This window comes from Homo sapiens, chromosome 8, assembly GCF_000001405.40.
Source record: "Homo sapiens chromosome 8, GRCh38.p14 Primary Assembly".
Taxonomy (NCBI): Eukaryota; Metazoa; Chordata; class Mammalia; order Primates; family Hominidae; genus Homo; species Homo sapiens.
In genome coordinates this window covers 34,249,071-34,267,545 of record NC_000008.11, presented here as the reverse complement: position 1 = coordinate 34,267,545, position 18,475 = coordinate 34,249,071, and the positions used below count along the sequence as shown (strand labels likewise).

At 38.2% G+C, this 18,475-nt stretch overlaps 1 long non-coding RNA gene across 3 annotated transcripts in view; it reads right to left on the bottom strand.

Moving 5' to 3' along the window:
* Positions 1 to 9,428: 9,428 nt before the first annotated feature.
* LOC105379364 (uncharacterized) overlaps positions 9,429 to 18,475 on the bottom strand; it is a 535,736-nt gene continuing 526,689 nt past the window's right edge. For all 3 annotated transcript variants that reach the window (NR_189605.1, NR_189606.1, NR_189607.1), the window contains one exon: positions 9,429 to 11,138. This is a non-coding gene — a long non-coding RNA (uncharacterized LOC105379364). The remainder of the gene's footprint in view (positions 11,139 to 18,475) is intronic.

Sequence of the window (18,475 nt, the reverse complement as noted above, 5' to 3'; positions counted from 1 at the left end):
GCTGAGAGTATTAGATGTTCATAAATCACTTTTGGATTGTTCCTATTATTATCTATCTACATGAGTTGAGGAAACAAATATTTGCTAAAAAGACATCAACAAAGAGAGAGAAAGAGACAATCAGGAGCTATTTTCTGGGTTTTGTTCTTTAGATAGCAGGCTTCCATGGGGGAGTAAGATGGAAGTGGGAAGTTTTCACAAGGCCAGCTGGCTGGAAAAAGCCTCCTCTAAGCACTAGAAACATCGGGACACTCAAGAGGGACTAACTCTACTGGAAGCCACCCAACAAAACTACATGGTTTAGAATTTCACTCGCCTGAAGTTGCTGGACTGGTTCATCTCTCAAATTCCCTTTAAGGCTCTGCTTCTATAGTTACCGAGTTGTTTAGCCTGGAATCCAGCATGTCCTCAGGCCTGGCCCATCTTTGTAGAATCTGTTTCAATTCAGCAGAGCTTGTCGCTGTGGTTATCTAAGCCAGGAGCTCTCAAAAATTTGCCAACAGTTGGACGCTGGTTTGTGACTTAAGCTAGCTGAGTCTTTTCTGGGGAAAACTAATCATTATTTTAGATTATTTTCTTTTTTCTCATTTTTTTTTAATTAAGAACCTTTCCTTTTATTAAAAAATTTTAGTGGAAATAACATTTGGATTTTTATTGTTATTTTTCAAAATCTTAGATTTAACAATTACAAAATGGCAGCACTAGTTGTATCTCTCTTAGCTTTTTTTAAAAATGTATTTTATCTGTAAAATTTCAGATTAGGAACCACTTTCTAGGAAGAGTATTGTGATTCTTCAGACGCACAAAGGGAGCAGAGATTTTTCATTCATATGTTCACCTAATAAATATTTATGAGCATCTACCAAGCGCCAGGCACTGTTCTAGACATTGAAGATCCATCAGTTACCAGAATATCCAATTAAAATCCCTACTGTCATCAAGCTTATCTTCTCATTGGGAAGAGACAGAAAATAAACAACAAACATAATAAATAAGTAATTAGCCTATGTATTACAGGTATACAGGTCTTGGACAAGAGGCAATAGTATCTGAATTCAATTCATTTCAAAACCAGCAACTTCCTATGCCAGATCATGGATTCTTGGCTAACTTGATTTAGTGATGATTAAAGCAAAGATCAGTTCTTCAAGATACTCAGTTTATAATACAGATTACAAAAGAGGACACTATTTTCCTTCCTAGATTATGAGTTCTTGGATAAACAAACTCAATAATTTCCATGAGACAGCTACATCCTAGTTGTCAAACCTGCTGAAACGCAATTGTTTTGTGGTCTCTGTACTTATGGCATCCATATTTTCTTTTTTTCTTTTCTCCTATAATAAGCTTAGCTCAGATCTTTGTTCTCTCATCCCATAATTCAAGTAGATGACTTACGATGAATAGTGTGGCGTGGCCTGAGCATTGAGATAGGATGTGCCTGACAGTGTACACATCACCACGCCATGTCGTGAACACCATCAAGCTGCTCCGTTTAGCCCAAGAGTATGAGCATTTTTCAAAGCTTCGCTTGGTTTTCAGAGACCGCGAGCAGTGCTCTGAGTAAGCAGATTAAGAACCCAGTTCAAAGACAAAATAAAGAGTGCTTAGAAAATAAATGAATTCTCCTTGGATCAGGTTCTGTGACTATGTCAAGTTTTAGCAGGTACATAAATGGTTATGTTTTCCCCCCAAATTGCTGCACAGGTGGAAGATCACAGAATGATGATGCAAATGAGCTGGCAGTTTAGAACAAATTAAAAAACAGTGTCAGATATTGACATGCAAAATGCCAATACTGCATATGTACAACAATGAGTGGAATATTGAATAGGATTTTTATTTTTATTTGACTGCCAGCTTATGTCAGTGGGCATTTCACAAGCTGGGAGAGGTGAGGAGAAAATGAGGAGATGCCATTCCAATTGTTGAGCCCATAAGACCCGTCAGGTTCCTGCTTCCAGTGAAAGCAGATTATAGGTTAGAAAGAGAAGTGGCACAACTGAAGGAGACCTTAACGAATGGAACTGGGAGACAGTCAAATTTTGCATGCATGGGGTGCTTTTGGGGAATAAAGCCTTCTGGCAGTTTGGTTGTGTTTATTCCAAAATGTTTGTGGGGAAAGCAGAGTGTATTTGCATTTTGTAAGCAAATGATGATAATAATAGGTTTCTGAGAGATATAAATCAGAGAAGATTCAATAAAAACATAAAATTTTGAATAGGCATGTTTTGACCCACCCCCACCCTCAGAAGCAGAGGCTCCAGATGATAGGGGAAGTGGAGGAGGCAGTTAGCATCTGTATTTTCAAATTTTGTGCAGGGAATGACCAAAGCCCCTTGATACAACCCCTTGCTGGTTTGGACTTCTAACTGAGGAACACATCAGGGCTCCCTGCTGTTAATCTGTGAACAAGGCCTACCCCCTGTGCCCTCCCTGATCTGCCCATTACTCTGCCCACCTGCCTATAGCTTGGACACATGATGACTGGGCTGTTATACCGGCTTCTTCCCAGCACCCATCACTTATTCAAAGAGCAAGACTGACTGGTCAATACACTTCAGCTAGCTCTCAAACTTGATCTGGATATAATAATTACTCTATATTGATTTGAGTAAATAAACCTTCCATCATACCAGTCGATCTTTTCCTCCAATTTGATTGAAAAGACATATAGACACTTCTAGAAAATTATCTGACATAAAGTGGGATTTTTCTGATTTAACAAAAGGAAAAAGTTTTTAAAAGCTGATGTAATTCCTTGATTCCTTAATTCTACAAATATGTAATAAATATGCAGACACCATCCAGGTGTACAATCTCTATTTTTTTCTCCTAAGTTAGCTGTGATTATTCACAGCTGCTTGAAAATAGTCAATTTCCTGAAACAAATCAACAAGAATTACATATTGCTCTTGGATCTTCTGCAGTTTTATTGACAGATAATCTCCACCCCACACATGTTGGTGATTATCATACATGTCAAGATTCTATCAGATGACCATTTCACATGGATTGCAGGACCTGTCTCTTCGGTCAGTATATACAATCAGTTTCCCTCAGCAGAAATGGAAGGAGTGGCTGGGCGCAGCAGCTCACATCTGTAATCCCACCACTTTGGGAGGCCAAGGCAGGTGGATCACTTGGGGCCAGGATTTCGAGGCTAGCCTGGCCAACATGGTGAAACCCCACCTCTATTAAAAATATGAAAAGTAGCCAGGCACAGTGGCGCATGTCTGTAGTCCCAGCTACTTGGGATGCTGAGGCAGGAGAATCACTTGAACCTGGGAGGCGGAGGTTGCAGTGAGTTGAGATTACACCACTGCACTGCAGCCTGGGCAACAGAGTGAGACTGTCTCAAAAAAAAATAAATAAATAAGAAAAAAGAAAAAAGAAACAAAAAGGAAGGGGCTCACAGGTGTCTCTCCTCTTAAACATCTTAAAATTTTTTTTAATTTTTTTTTACAGTAACATATGAACACATATTGAAAAATAAAATAATAATAAAAGCTAATTTATAATGGAAATCAACAATCTGTTGCCACTCCCTTTTCCCATTCTAAGTCCTGCTTCTGGAGAGAACCACTTTATCTGTTTCTGCTTTAACTTTTCCTGATGCTTACCTATTGGTTTCCAAATAATATGTCTAGATTGCTTATTTGTATATCTTCCTTTATTCATTCTACAAATAAGTGCTTATTGTATACCAGCACTTATCTAAGAACATGAATTAAGTAGTGTTTAAGGCCAGGCATGGTGGCTCACACCTGTAATCCCAGCACTTTGGGAGGCCGAGGCAGGTGGATCACTTGAGGTCAGGAGTTGGAGACCAGCCTGGCCAACATGGTGAAACCCCATCTCTACTAAAAATACAAAAAATTAGCCAGGCATGGTGGTGTGCACCTGTAATCCCAGCTACTCAGGAGGCTGAGACAGGAGAATCACTTGAACCCAGGAGACAGAGGTTGCAATGGACTGAGATGGCGCCATTGTACTCCAGCCTGGATGACAGAACAAGATTCTGTCTCGAGAGAAAAAAAAAGTGTTTAAAAAACTGGTATCTATTTGACCAATTATTGCAATTGTGTTATCATTTCTTATCTACTGATGAACGTATTCTCTTTGTTACTACAGATTTATATCTTTTTTGGTTCAGTATATATATAATTTTAAGGGATTCTGAGGAAAGAGAGGAGGTAAGCCTTGTGGCCAGTCCACCATCTCCAACAGAAATGTTCTGATCTCTTTATGGAAACTCTGAGAATGTGGATGGACCTGGTAAGAGTTGAGCTCCCATTCACACACAGGAACCAGAGTCAAGTTGCCTCTGTGATGTTAGAGGAAACACAGGTGGTAGAAAAGCACTGGGCTGGGATTTGGGAAGCTTAGGCCACATCCATAATCAGGTCAATAACCACAGATTTCACAGTGCTTGGCAAATTAAAGTGAGCTAATTATTATTTATTATTATATGTAATGTAGTTCACCATTATTTAGCTCATTCTGCTTGTTAAACACTGTGGATTCTGTATCAACTTTCTCATTTAAAAAATAATAACTAATATTATCCCACTTTTCAGATGAAAGATCTAAGGTCTAAAAAAGTGATATAATTGTTTCAAGGTTTCATGACAGAACAGGGATTTAAACTTAAGCCTGTTTCTTGAGCCCAAGGTTATGTCATAATCTCATTTTAGTTAAGTCAATTCCATAAACATTTGTTGAAGTTGTACTGTATGCCAGTATCAGACACCTATGGGAACTCTGTTTACTTCCTGTTGGCCTCATCTCTGATTCCATCCATGTCTGGATAGAGAGTTCCAAGTGTGCTTCAATTCCTGATTCCTGATGTGCTAACAGCTTCTCCTTTCAAGCATGTGCCATATCTTCTCTGCTACTGGATACCACCGGGAGCTGTTTTTGCTCCTATGAAGCTGGGAAGACTTCAGGAGGAGATAATACCTGAAGCTGGGATGTGTCTGGGAGTTACCATCCAGGACCAGCCTCAGGAGCTGGTGGATAAATAGCAGACAATTCTGCAAAATATTCTGTAGGTTTCTCTGGTCCTAGGGGTCTCAGGCCCCCATTGTCCATAGCAGCAACCTCTCAATCAGAGTTTTATATTGGCTTTTCCTCCATCTCTATCCTCATTCCTCAGTCTTCACTATTCTCAACCCCTCATCTCTTCTCCCTGGGATCACCAACCAAACAAATCATCTGCACCCATGCTCTTGTCTCAGGACTGCGTCCAAAGAAGCCTGAGTCAAGATGTATGGTAAAGGGTGACACAACATATTTTGCTAAGTGCTAAGAGAGAGAGTGATGTGGAAACCCAGAATGAGGAGCCTTTAGCCAAATGACAATAGAGAATTCTGGAGAAGGCAATACCTGAAGAATAAATACAGTTCTATATTTATCCTTCAAGTAGAACATAGTGAGCAAAACAGAACAAATGGGTATTCACTCACCCACTTATTCTTTCAGTTATTATTTATTGGATGACACACTTGCTTAAGGATACCACATTAAAACAAAACAAAACAAAAAACCTGCCTTCTTGGGGCTCATAGGAAAAGACAAATGAAAGTGGACAAGTGCTATAAAGAAAATGAAATCAGAATAAGGGGACAGAGAAGGATGAAGATGCTATTTTAGAGGGCCAGTCTAAGAAAGCATTGCAAAAAAAAAAGGGGGGGGCGATATTTCATCTAAAAACTGGGCTAAGTGAGTTCACCAACAAGTATCTGGGGCAAGAGTGTTATAGACAGATATGAACATGCAAGGCGAGTTCAGCAAACAGACAGGGGGCAGGGAGTCAGAGGCAGGGCAGGTGAAAGAAGACTAGGAGGAGAGTGGGCCAAGACTTCGCTGGGTCTTGTCTTGCAGGCAGATGAAGACCTTGGCCATGCTAAGGGCTCAAACCTTACATTATGTCACTTTTTCTGGGATTCAGTTCCCTCATAAAACAAGGAAGTTAGAAATTCACAAGGTCCTTTGTAATGCTGGAATCCCATATGTTCTACTTTCAAACCCGTTAGCAACTTTTATAATCCTTCTTTGGGAGCTTGGGGAGGAAGGCCTGACAGTCAAGCAAGGTACGAAAACACTGTGTATTCCTTCCAACTCAAACACCCTATTTCCTAAGTACAAGTAAGGTCAAAGTATCACTTGCTCTGGCATGGTTTTAAGTCTAGCAGGAACTCTGGGCAGGAACCTCAATGCATGGTGCTTCAAAGCAGTTTGTCCACTGTGGCTCTAAGTGGAGGCTTGAACCTCTCTCTCCTCCTTTCACGTATCTAGTTACAAGGTGAGTGAGGGCAATGAGAGCAGTTTCTCGACTCACCCCAAGCACTGAGTTTGAAGAAGCAAGTTCCCCCTACTAGACTGACCTCAGAACCCACCTCTGACATTTGGCTTCCATGAGGAGTGGGACAGAGGTTACAGCGACACCCAGCAGCCAGCTCTTGTGAGTAAGCTGATCTCCACCTGTGTTCTCTGGCAGAACCTCTCTGGAAAGATTCTGATTGGTATTATAATGCTCTATTCAGTAAATAACATGAGAAAACAAGGGATACACTTCCTTTCAAGTTAGAAAGGGCAAATTGAATGAAGGTCAGGTTGGTAAAATAGAAATAAGCTAAACTTTTAAGAATATCTGGGCTTGACTCCTGTTTTCCCACTTTCTGGCTATACTTTAGAGGTATTACAACCTCTTATTTCATCATTTTTAATGCCTTAGCTAGTATTTACCTTATATGACTATTGCAAGTATCAAGATAAACGCATATTAGAATGGCTGGCCCTAAACAAATAGTAGATTCTGCTATTATTATCATCAATAATGGAAATTATTAGTATCTCATTGATAAAGAAATTTCAGATCCCTTGGGAAAATCTCTTTGAGTTCTGCCTGCCTATAATGATGTCACACATGAGATTCTATGGTTTCTACCACGGATGAATATTCTTCCTTTGGCTTGAAGTTTTAAGCTGCTTACAACATGTGGAATTCAAAGCTGCAGGCACACGCCTGTCAGAACTGTCAGCAAGATTAACAACAGGTATTTGAAAAGAAAACAGTAGGCAGTTAAGGAGCTGTTCTTGGAGTATGATTTATGAAGGTTTCCATGACAAGACCATGGTTTTGATGAGAAAACAGTACACATTTCATGAAACTCAACTACATGGGTGTTTTAATAAACAAGTTGCTTTTGACCAATAGATGCTATTCATAGACCTAAAGCATCCTTGAGAATAAACAGTCAAAGCGAAATACCAGAGTGATATAGAGGCAGCCCCAAGGTACACTCTGACAAAATAAGCTTTTTGTGTTCCCCATTTTATATGTCACCTAAACCACAGGTAACCCCTTCATTTATATATATGGAGGTATCAATTTATCAGCCTCAAGCCATGCCTTCCACAAAGTACCCAGTTATTTTAGTAAGTATAGCTATTAAATATTTGATATATTAAAAATTAAAAAGTCTCATAATACTGTATTTGGAATATTAAGGCACACAAAAAGAAAGGGTTTAGAGTTATAGTTTACCACTATGGTCTAAGAATTATTCAGTCATTAAAAAGGCATAGGTCCATAGAACTGTTGCTAGAATATATTTAATATGACAATGATCTAGTGCCACTTAGGAGTATATAATTTGCACAGTACTTGTTTCTGGTGATAATTGTTTACAATTACTTCACTGTTTTATTTTCTACTCTATTTGATTTGAGCTCTGGTTTTCTTTCCTGAGAGCCTTTCGGGTAATCAGCCACTTTAAACCAATCTTCGCACGAGGTGTTGTGGTAAGGAATTTATCCCTTACTCTTATCAACCACAAGGCACAAAATACTCACCAGGAACTAGCTAAACTCAGCCTAGGCTTCAACTGTCCTCTGCTTTCGCCATATTATTCATCTGCTGTCTTCCACTCCAATGAAGCAGTTATAGCCTAAACCAGGTGCACCCACTAGAATAACTTGATTGGGAAGATTATATCTAAACAAGGATCAGCTATTAAATTTCATCAAGCCATATTTTTGCTCTATTTCATAGAAACAGCAGGTGAGTTAGACTGGTTGCTTGCTAAAGAAAAACACATTTAGAAGGCTTAAACCTCAAGAAAGCATAGATACAGAAGTGTCGTTGATGATAAAAATCTAACCTGTAGGACATTTCTACAGTTATAATCTAAATGATTGAAACGAACATTACTATTTTAGGTTTAACACAGAGGACTTTGTACCTCAAGGGGTAGTTTTGAATCCCCAAGACAGTACCCAGCACCACTGAAAAATGTCTCTACACATTACGTAGCTACATGGAATCTGAGGAAAATATTTAGAACATACGTCTTCAGCAATGGCTTCTCGGCTGCTGCAAATACATCAAAATGACTACGCTTGGGCAAAATGGGAGAAAGGAAGGGAAGTGACAGTTTTAAGAAGATTAAAAAACCAACCAACTTTTAGGAAGATTAAAAAAGAGAGAGCCAGGAGGATCATTTATAAAAAGGAGGATGTAAATTCTTTACAACCTGATTGTTTTTCCCTGGAATTTACTTGCTTTAATGAAACTGTTATTCCTGAAGGACTGAAAGCTTTCTTTTTTTTTAAGGTGAATACAGCAGTGCTGAGGGTTGGCATATTGTTAGTCTCTGACCTCAGGAGACTATCCCTGAAGACCTAATTAGGTTACAAACATGTGAAAATAAGTTTAGCATTCCTTGTGCAGGGGGCTCTAAGGGGATTTCAGAATGCTGGATAGTTAACACTTCCCAGAGTGTTCCCTTTGCAAACTCTACATATCACAATGTTTCTGCCTTTTATACCACAACTAAGTTATCATCAAAGAGTCATTTTAACCGGGTGACCTTTTCTGCAGTGAAAACATTAGAAATGCCTTGGGGTTTTCATTGACTTTCCTTATGATAGAGTTAGTGACCAAATTTGCACATTTTCTTAAGTTTTTTAAAAATACTTTTCTGCCAAATAAAGTAACAAGTCTGATTTACTTCTAAAAAATCAATCAGTCCAAGGAAGTAAAGAGTAAACTTAACCTCAAAATAGGGTTTCAGTTTTATGAACCAGAGGTTTGCTTGCTAGCAGCCTCTAATGGTGAGCTGATGATAACCCACTATTAGCACAAGGCAGAGGTAACACATGAGACTGAAAAGAGAATGGATTTAGGAGGCAGAGGAATAAGCCACTCAAATTTTCTGAACATTTTCTTAAGTATGCAATGGAAATAATAGTATGTACCTCATATCACAGTCCCTGTAATTAAATGAGATAACATAAGAGAAAGCATTTTGTCCAAGAGAAATTACTGCACAAATAAAAGTTATTTTTATTTGTTCAGAACCCTAGAAATTTCCCTGTGGTCAGTACAAGCGTTACTAGCAACTAAAAAAATAATTGCAGTATTGAATAATGCAATCAAGATTTTATTACAATTCAATCAATCATAGTCAGAAAGAGAGCACTTAATAATATTGGCCACCCAGATTAAAATGCATGCCTTTACCCACATAAATGTATGTCATTACCCTCCAGGAAATGTGAGTAGTAGCCACTATTGGAAATTCCTCTACTAAAGGGTGATCTCCTCATAATAGGTGTAGCATTACAGTTCAATTGGTCAGATGATTCAGTATATAAAAATGCTATTACAGAGCTGATATTTGGACACATAGGTAATCTAGACTATAAATTTCACAAGGACAGGGATCTTTGTCTATTTTGTTCACTATCTATCTCAATATCTTGGACAATTACTTATACACACTATGGACTAAATACATATTTATTGATTATGAGAGTAAAATAAAAAACTCTGAAATTCCATAAGTCATTTTGGACCTCAATTTTCTAGATCTTTGGAGGCACTGCAGACTTCAATAATTCAGTTCAGTAGCCACAGCTAGTTAGCCTACAGTGAGTTCATTCTCTCTTTGCTTGGACTAGCTTGATAACACCTTAAGGAGAGAGTTTCTGTTCTGTGCAGCGTTCTAGACAGGCCCCTCAGAGGTAGCTCTGTTCTCCTCTGCCAATCCCTGGTCTATTCCTTTATAGCTTAGTTAATCATGGACTCTACTTTGCCAGCTGAGCTCATTTCTGCACAAGAACAGAACTGGCTCTAGAGGGCTGAGTAAATGTTCTTTAAAAGGCAGGTGATACCTAGTATACACTGAGGTTTTAAATCTGTTCAGTAGATAATGTTAATAAAAAAAAATTAATCAGCTGGGTGTGGTGGCTCACGCTTATAATCCCAGCACTTTAGGAGGCCAAGGTGGGTGGATTGCTTGAGCTCAGGAGTTCGAGAGCAGCCTGGGCAACATGGCAAAACCCCAACTCTACAAAAAATACAAAAAATAGCCAGGCATGGTGGCACTTGCCTGTAGTCCCAGCTACTCAGAAGGCTGAGGCAGAAGAATCTCTTGAGCCTGGGAGGTGGAGGTTTCAGTGAGCCAAGATCATGCCATTATATTCCAGCCTGGGACACAGAGCAAGACCCTGTCTTAAAAAAGGAAAGGAGAGGAAAGGAGAGGAGAGAAGAGGAGAGGGGAGGGGAGGGGAGGGGAGGGGAGGGGAGGGGAGGGGAGGGGGAGGCAAAAGAAAAAAAAGAAAGTTAATTTAAAAAGTGTATAAGGTAACTACTACGTACAAAATAGTTGGACCTATGTATGTAATAGAAGATACAGCCCATTTGAAGAAGCTTAACACTTCACTGGATAGATATAATCTATGCAGATGACATTTCCTGCACACACACACATACAAATGGCAATAGAGATTATTATGTTGGGCTGGACTTTAAGGTAGAAATGGGATTTCAGCTGCTTCTGGAGAATGCTTTTAATATGAAAAAGGAATGAAAAGTGCATCCTAGGAAAGGATAACATAATATGCAAAGACAGAAAGTGAAAAATTACAAGGTACATTTGGTAAAATATAAGAAGAATCACTGGAATAAGGCAGTTTAAGAAAGTATAGCAAGAGTTAAGGCTAAAAAATGGTATCATTTAAATTAATGTCATTTTGACCTGACGTGGTGTAGCAGAAAGCATCCAGGAGCCAGACTGTGACACAGATCTCCGAATGGGGCAAAAATCAGTGTGGCAACCTGCAAGGAACTAGAACAGGACATTTCAAATTAATAGTGTTGAAATCTATTTTTTAAGCACTGAACTGACCAAAAATATTAGATCTTCCTGCAAGCCACCATCTTGCAACCTGTAATAAAGAACAAACAAAATAGATAAAAATGAGCACAGTTTGAAATAAACCAGATAGAAGTGCTTGGTAAAATGAGATCTCACATGTATGCATTTATACATATAAACTCAAGCTCTCCCTGTTATGAAAAACAGGACTTAAAAATCACCTTCCCACAACCAAAGTTATTATTTTAGGCAGATGTTCCCATGTTCCCCAAATCTTAGTATGCTAGGGAGCAGTGGTTCTCAAACTTTATCATCCATCAGGATCACCTGCAGAGCCTGTGAAAGCAGACTGTTGAACCCCATTTCCCGAGTTTCATATTCATTTTGTCTAGGTGGAGCTTGAGAATTTGGTTTTGTAACAAGTTGACAAACTGACGCTGATGCGCCTGCTCTGAAGACTACACTTTGAGAATCAAGGCTCTACATCAGCCCACCATTTGGGCTCACTGTTAATTATAATTTATCTTGTAAGGGATATCAACAAATAACATTTTGCAAACCTAAGTGTCCTTTAGACGATTCATACATATTGTTCTTTCTTGGTTGAGATATAACTTAGGTTAAACTTACTTATAAGTTTAACCTAAGTATAAGAATTGAAAATATATTTTAAGAAGAACATTAGACTTGGCAAGTGGAAGTGGAAAGGCCGTCTCTTCCAGGACACATACTTATTAAGTCCTCAATTTTCACCACATAAAAAATCTTCCACCCAGCTTGGCTGCACTTAAAACATATTATTTAGATTTAATTTGCAATTTAGAACAGCTGCATTCTAGGTCTCTGCCAGGTAGTTTAGTCTTCACCCAATATCTATCTTTAAAAAGGTGAAATAAATTACATTTGCCAAGCATTGTCTGAAAAATATGCAGACCTCACGTTCATCTCTAGGTAATTTGTGCGTTAATGACATAGCAGTACATTGTTGTCAATTGTGGAATATATTGGAGGCTATTTATTAGTAGTAGAATTAAAAGAGTGAAATTTGCAAATGATTTATTTAAAGTAAATAATTAGAGCAGACATAGGGTTATTCTTCCAACATCATTGTGGCTAGCTTGCATACTGAAATGTGTTTTTCAAGTGGGAGAAAAAGCATGAAGATGCCTGAAGTCTGTCTTATATGTGTCTTTAGCAGTGTATCTGCCATGAAAGCATCATCTGTCAAGTATCAAAAACACTGACACTGTCACATAGATGCTCTTAAATATGTCCCTCATCAGAATCACCTGAAATGCTTGTTAAAATGCATATTCTAGGGTTGCCTTTGGACCTATGAATGAGAACCTCCTGGGGAGGTAGGGTCTGGGAGTCCACACATTAATGAGCTACCCAGCTGCTCCTAATACCCATTAATATTTGAGAACTGTTCTTTCTAGACCCACAATTCTAGGCCCCTACAGGACTTCACAAGAAAATGACATCTTTATCCTACATTGCAGGCCTTTAGAAGAAATCATTTGGCTGCTCTACTTCTGCAGCTGCTTTAAAAATACGAAGAGGGAGTTTTTTATTATATTATACATAATCTTATTTACAATGATCTCAGGGAAAAAGTTTCTATTTTAAGTAGTAATAAATTTTATCTTCTTGGTCTGCTCGTGGTTAACTATTATAAGCCATATTCTCATAGCAGATGGATCCTTATGTAGGACTGTAAGAAAGCTTGGAGCCAAATGTATGTTCCATGCTTGATGAAGAGGACTCTGGTGGACGTCTCTGTAAGGGCCTCCTTTCTACCTTTGCTTCATAGCCCTGGAATTGTTTTTGTCCATTTGTTTTCCTCTTTCATCTTCTGTTTTCTGTTCTACCTTTTTATTTTATGTATCCCTTATATGCAATCTTAGATATCTGGTGGAGCCAAGTAGTGAATAAACCTCTGGGAATGTGTATATATTGAAATTTTACAAATGGTATACACAAAGATATTTTTCATTAGGAAACAAAAATATTATTTCGGAAAGATATGAGTAATCCTCATCTAACATAAACTCAATAATAGTCTGGTTTTTCTTATGATTTATTTTTAAATGCATAATAATGGTAGAGGATATTAGAAATGACCTTCTGAGATTGTGAACAGACCTCTGCGTGTGTGTCTTCTTCTTTTTTCTAAACTACAACAGGACATTTTCAAACTAATATGTTGAACTCTGTTTTTTAAGCACTAAATTGACCAAAAAAAATTAGATCTTTCTGCAAGCCACCATTTTGCAGGAAGTGCATTTTGTTTGGGTGCTGTGATCACTTCCCCTTCTGTCTTTGCTTTGGATTAAAAAAAAAAAAAAAGAGTTACAACTGTTAAGGAGGCCTGATACAGGCAGGGAAGTAAACCAAATCTAAAAGTGTTGAAGGAAAAGCAAATTGTTCTTGAAATAGTCTGTGTCTACACGTAACTAGCATGAGATCCCTGAACCTGACCTTCTCTTTTTTAATGCTAGCCAGTCTGCACATGCATGTGTAATATTGCCTGAAAAAACTTAGCTATTTTGGTTGGGCTTCCTGCTGCTTTCAACAAAAGAAATTGATATGAGAGAATAAAATCCCAGATATTAGTGAAGGGTCAGTACTGCAGAGAATGGGCTGTAGTCTAAATCTGCCTTGACACTGTCATCAGAGAAAGGACAATACTCCAAGAGGGGAAACTACTTTTGTCTGGCAAATATTTGACTAAAAAGGATGAAGTAGCCAGAAGGACTTAGGAGTAAAGTTTGTATTAGGGGAAAAGTAGGACAACCACAATGCATTGCTCTGAGTGGTAAGGGGGTGAGGACAGACTTGGCTGATAGGAGAAGTGATTTTTTAAAATCAACTATCCACTAATATAATCTTACATGTAAGTAATCTAGAGTAACCTTGCTGAAGGCTCTTAGTTGGTGAGAAAGTGCAGTAAACCACAGACTCAGTGTGTGATCCGAAAACATCCCTCTACAACAAGGTAGAACACTATTAGAAGTCATTGCATCCTAAATCTAATTCCCAATCTGAATAAATTTCAGGTTTCTATCACTTTCTTGTCTATAAAGTTAAGCAAAAGAATCATAGAATCTAGACTTAGTTATGTACAACCGATATATAGTTCAGTGGTAAACAACAAGCATGAAGTCTTTAAAAATATGGATGCAGGAGTAATGGTAATCAAAGGATTACACACTAGAAAGGAACAATGTTAATACATATGACTAGAATTTTTCTATAGTTTAAGTAGTTGTGTAACTGGAGGGGTTTGCCCAAGTTTTAGACCGTTAGAAATAAACTACCCTTTAATTTGAAATTAAGTATTGATTTGACTTAATAGTAATTGCCAATTTCTCTACTTTAGATTGACTTTATACAATTCACAATCACCATCTCTGTCTCAAATTTCCTTCTAATGAAATGAGGGCAGTAATTTATGTCATATATCTTTATGTTCCTCCTAGCTGTGTGATAACATATATTTCAAGCACAGGTGCATGTTTCTATGTGATTCATGAACATAAATATTAAAATTCTAATTTCCTGTTTATAATATGCCAGGTCTGCCTGTTATTTACTAACACATTTATTGTTTCTACTCTCCTCCTGCCGACACAAACACTAGAATAGATACATCTATACAATCAGGGACTTTAACCATCCTGTTAACTGTGAAATCACCAGTGCCTAGAATAGTAGCTGGGGCATAAAAGATACTCCATAAATATTTCTTGAATAAATTAATAGGAAGTCAGCAGTTGGAACACATATAAACCAGATTCTACTGCTGTTGGCAGTGATTGAAATCTATGAGATAAAGAATAATGTGTGTGTGTGTGTGTGTGTGTGTGTGTAACAAGCTGAGGAAGGGATCAAAGGAGACAGTTGTCAATCAGACTTTATTCCCCTATCAGAATTTAATTCTTTAATAACTGAGAATTACTAATATGTCCAAGAACACTTGTTCTCTAGCTTCATTTTGTTGAATTTCACACTGAAGAAACAGACAAACAAAACTGATTGGTTGTGTGTATCCCTAATACATTTTCTCAAACTATTTCCCCCAACTCTCTCCTTGACCCTGACATAATCCATTATTGACACTTCATGAGTTTTAGCTACCTCTTGTTTTGCCAGGCTCTTCTAACCCATCTTTGGCTGTCACTTCTACTAAACAAGAAGCGCAGGCAAGAGGACTCTCTGAGGAGCCACCTGTCAGAGCTGTCCATTTGGACATCTTTGGTGAAGTCTGAGAGCAAACGCTGAAGGAAAATGCTAACAGAATGCTGTGAGGGAAGGCTGAGTTCTCTCCATCTCAAATCTAAATTCATGCTGTAGAATACAAACTATCATTAAAATCAAATATTGAACCCTGATTGATTAAGACCTTAAGAAATATTGTCAGAAGAGTTTCCAGAACTTGAATAATGTCTAGCCCCACATTGCAACCCTCCTTGGGAACTCCCCTTGCCTTGTATTAAAAACACACACTTTTCTTTATCAATTTCTAATGTAACTAGATCATTGCAACCAGAATAAATAATGCAATAGATAAAAAGCACCCTTTCCCCATACTTCACAGCACCCAAAACAAGACTAAGCCTGTGCCATATGTTAAATTTCATTTAATCATTTTGCATTATGTAATGGAGTTGCAAAGCAAAGATATTTTGTGATTACTAATTAGTTTCATGATTATTAAACTGATCAAATGACCTAAATAACAAAACTGAATAAGTCAAAATAATATGTGCTGTTTCTAGTACATACACACTAATTAAATCAATATAATGTTAAAAAAAGAAATCTGGGCATATTCTGGATGAGAAAAAAAGCATTACAGTGAGAATCCTACCCTTCATTAGAATGGGTCATGTGCCTATGGTCCTCCTAAACCTTCTGGCCCCAACAGAGTCTCAGCTTCACTATCTGCTTTGAGTCTCTATGATTAATCTCATTATATTCTTTATTGCCACTTAAGAACTACAAGAAGCCTAGGAATTTTGAGTACCCACTCATTTCCTTTACCCTAATTTTCCTAAGACTACATATCCTACATTCTGTCCTCATCTCCTAACATTCTCACTACCAAAAACCTTCCACTGTGCCTTCTAGAATTCATGACTGCTCAACACAAAGAAATGCATTCTCGAATTCTTCTCTCAATGTTCCTTTCATCTTCTTACTGTAAAGTTACTGCTTCTCTAAAGCCCTCCAAATTAGTAAAATCTCAGCTCCAATCCCTTATCATTGATTTTACTACCCATTCCCCTTTTACTTCCTCGTTTTTGCCATCCTCCTTGGGTCACTCACCATCACAGTTGCAGTTTTGGCTCTCTGTAACACTCTCCAACCTCACTTCAGTATGACATCACGGGACATTAAATATCCATTTAGATGATTCTCTTCGTATTCCAGCTTCACAGTTTCTTGAACTCCTCTTCTCTCATAGTTCAGTCCTTGGGAAACTTCTTCTTCTAGGCAATTGATTACATCCTGTCTCTTCTACATAAGGACATGGCTTCAGTGAAAACTCCTTCTTCCTTGCCTGAACAATATTCCTCTCTTAGGAGATAACTGCCATCAGCATACAAACATTGAACTCTCTGAAAGTCCACTCTTGACTCCAATTCCCTTCTATCTGCCACCCCATTTCTCTTCTCTAATTTATTGCAAAACTTGTATTAATTGGTCCATACCTGAAATTTTTAACTTTTTCCATTTCCTCTTTTATTTTATCTAAACAGACTTACTACTTCACTGAAAGTGCTCTTGTCAAGGTCATCAGTGACCTCCAAGTTGTTAAATTTAATGATCAATATGCAGTTCTGAACTTACTACGCCTATGAGAACATTTGACCCAGTTGACCACACCCTCATCCTTACATTCTTCTTGTTAGTTTCCAAGACTTCATTCTTCTTGTTTTCCTCTTATTTCTCTGGTCTATCCTACAGTCTGTTTGCTGGCTTCTCCTCATTGTCCGGCCTTTTGTATGACCTTGGGTCCATACCTAAACTTCTATTTCTCTTCCCTGTTAATACTTCCTCCCTTGGTGATCCAATTCTGTCATGCATATTCTGATGATTCTCTAATTAATGTCTTGAGTCTAGACCTCTCTGCTAAACTCCTGAACGCCCAATTCATGTATCTAACAGCCTACTCAATACCTCCAGTAGGATATCTATTAGTAAATTAACTTAAGCATGTGCAAAAATGAACACGAACCCCTGGCCTTGTTCACTACCTTTCTGCAGCCCCTTGCAGCCTACCCCTCCCCTCATGTGCCTTCATTGTAATTAATTCTTTCAGCTCCTCAGACCAAAAATGTTGGCCTCCAAAATCACCTTCACCTTTCCTCTTTCTCCCACATCTCACATTAAATCTGTCAGGAAATCCTCTTGCATCTACTTTCAAAATGTATCCCTGACTTAACCTTTCTGTTTTGCCACCTTGCCTGCTACCTCTCTGATCCAATCCACTATCATCTCTTGCTTGGAATATTGCAATAGCTTTTTAACGAGTCTCCCTGCTTTCACACGCATCTCTCGTATAGCATATTTTTATAAAAAGGAAGACATTATCATTTAAAAACTTCAGCTGGCAGTCACTCCTCTGTTCCTATCCTTGCCATGCTTTTCTTTGTAACTCAGGGTGGAGCCAGGTAGGGTGGTTGACTCTCTCTGCACTCTAGTTTCTCAATTATTCTATGCTTCAGTTCCTACTACTCTCCCCATCCATCATGCTATTGCATCTATTGGCCTCCCTATGTTTCTCAAACAAGACAAGCACGCTCCCAGGTCATGGCCTGTGCGTTTGCTGTTATATCCGTTTGGAACACTCTTTACACACAGGTCTTCTCTCTGATCATGGGCTTCTCTCAGATCAGTGAGGCCATCCTTGATCATTCTATTTCAAATTGTCTCCATATCCCCACCCCATCTCCAGTTTCTCTTCCCTGCTTTATTTTTCTGCGCTCATTTACCAGCTTCTCATATACAATATAACTTATTTATAATTTGTTTGTTTATCTCTCTCTAGAAAAAGGGCAGAAATTTTGGTCTTTTTCCTTTCTTTACCCTAGCCAAAGCATCAAAAATAGTGCTTAGCATATAGTAAGTAATCAATATGTATTAAATATATGTGTGCATGAATGAATGAATACGTGAATGCATGAACAAATTAATGAATATTATTTGGCAGTTTCAACTCAGGAGCCAGGATGTAAATGATGACTGATACCAAAGCCTATTATGAGAGGTTCTATACAGCAAAAATCTCCAGATAGATT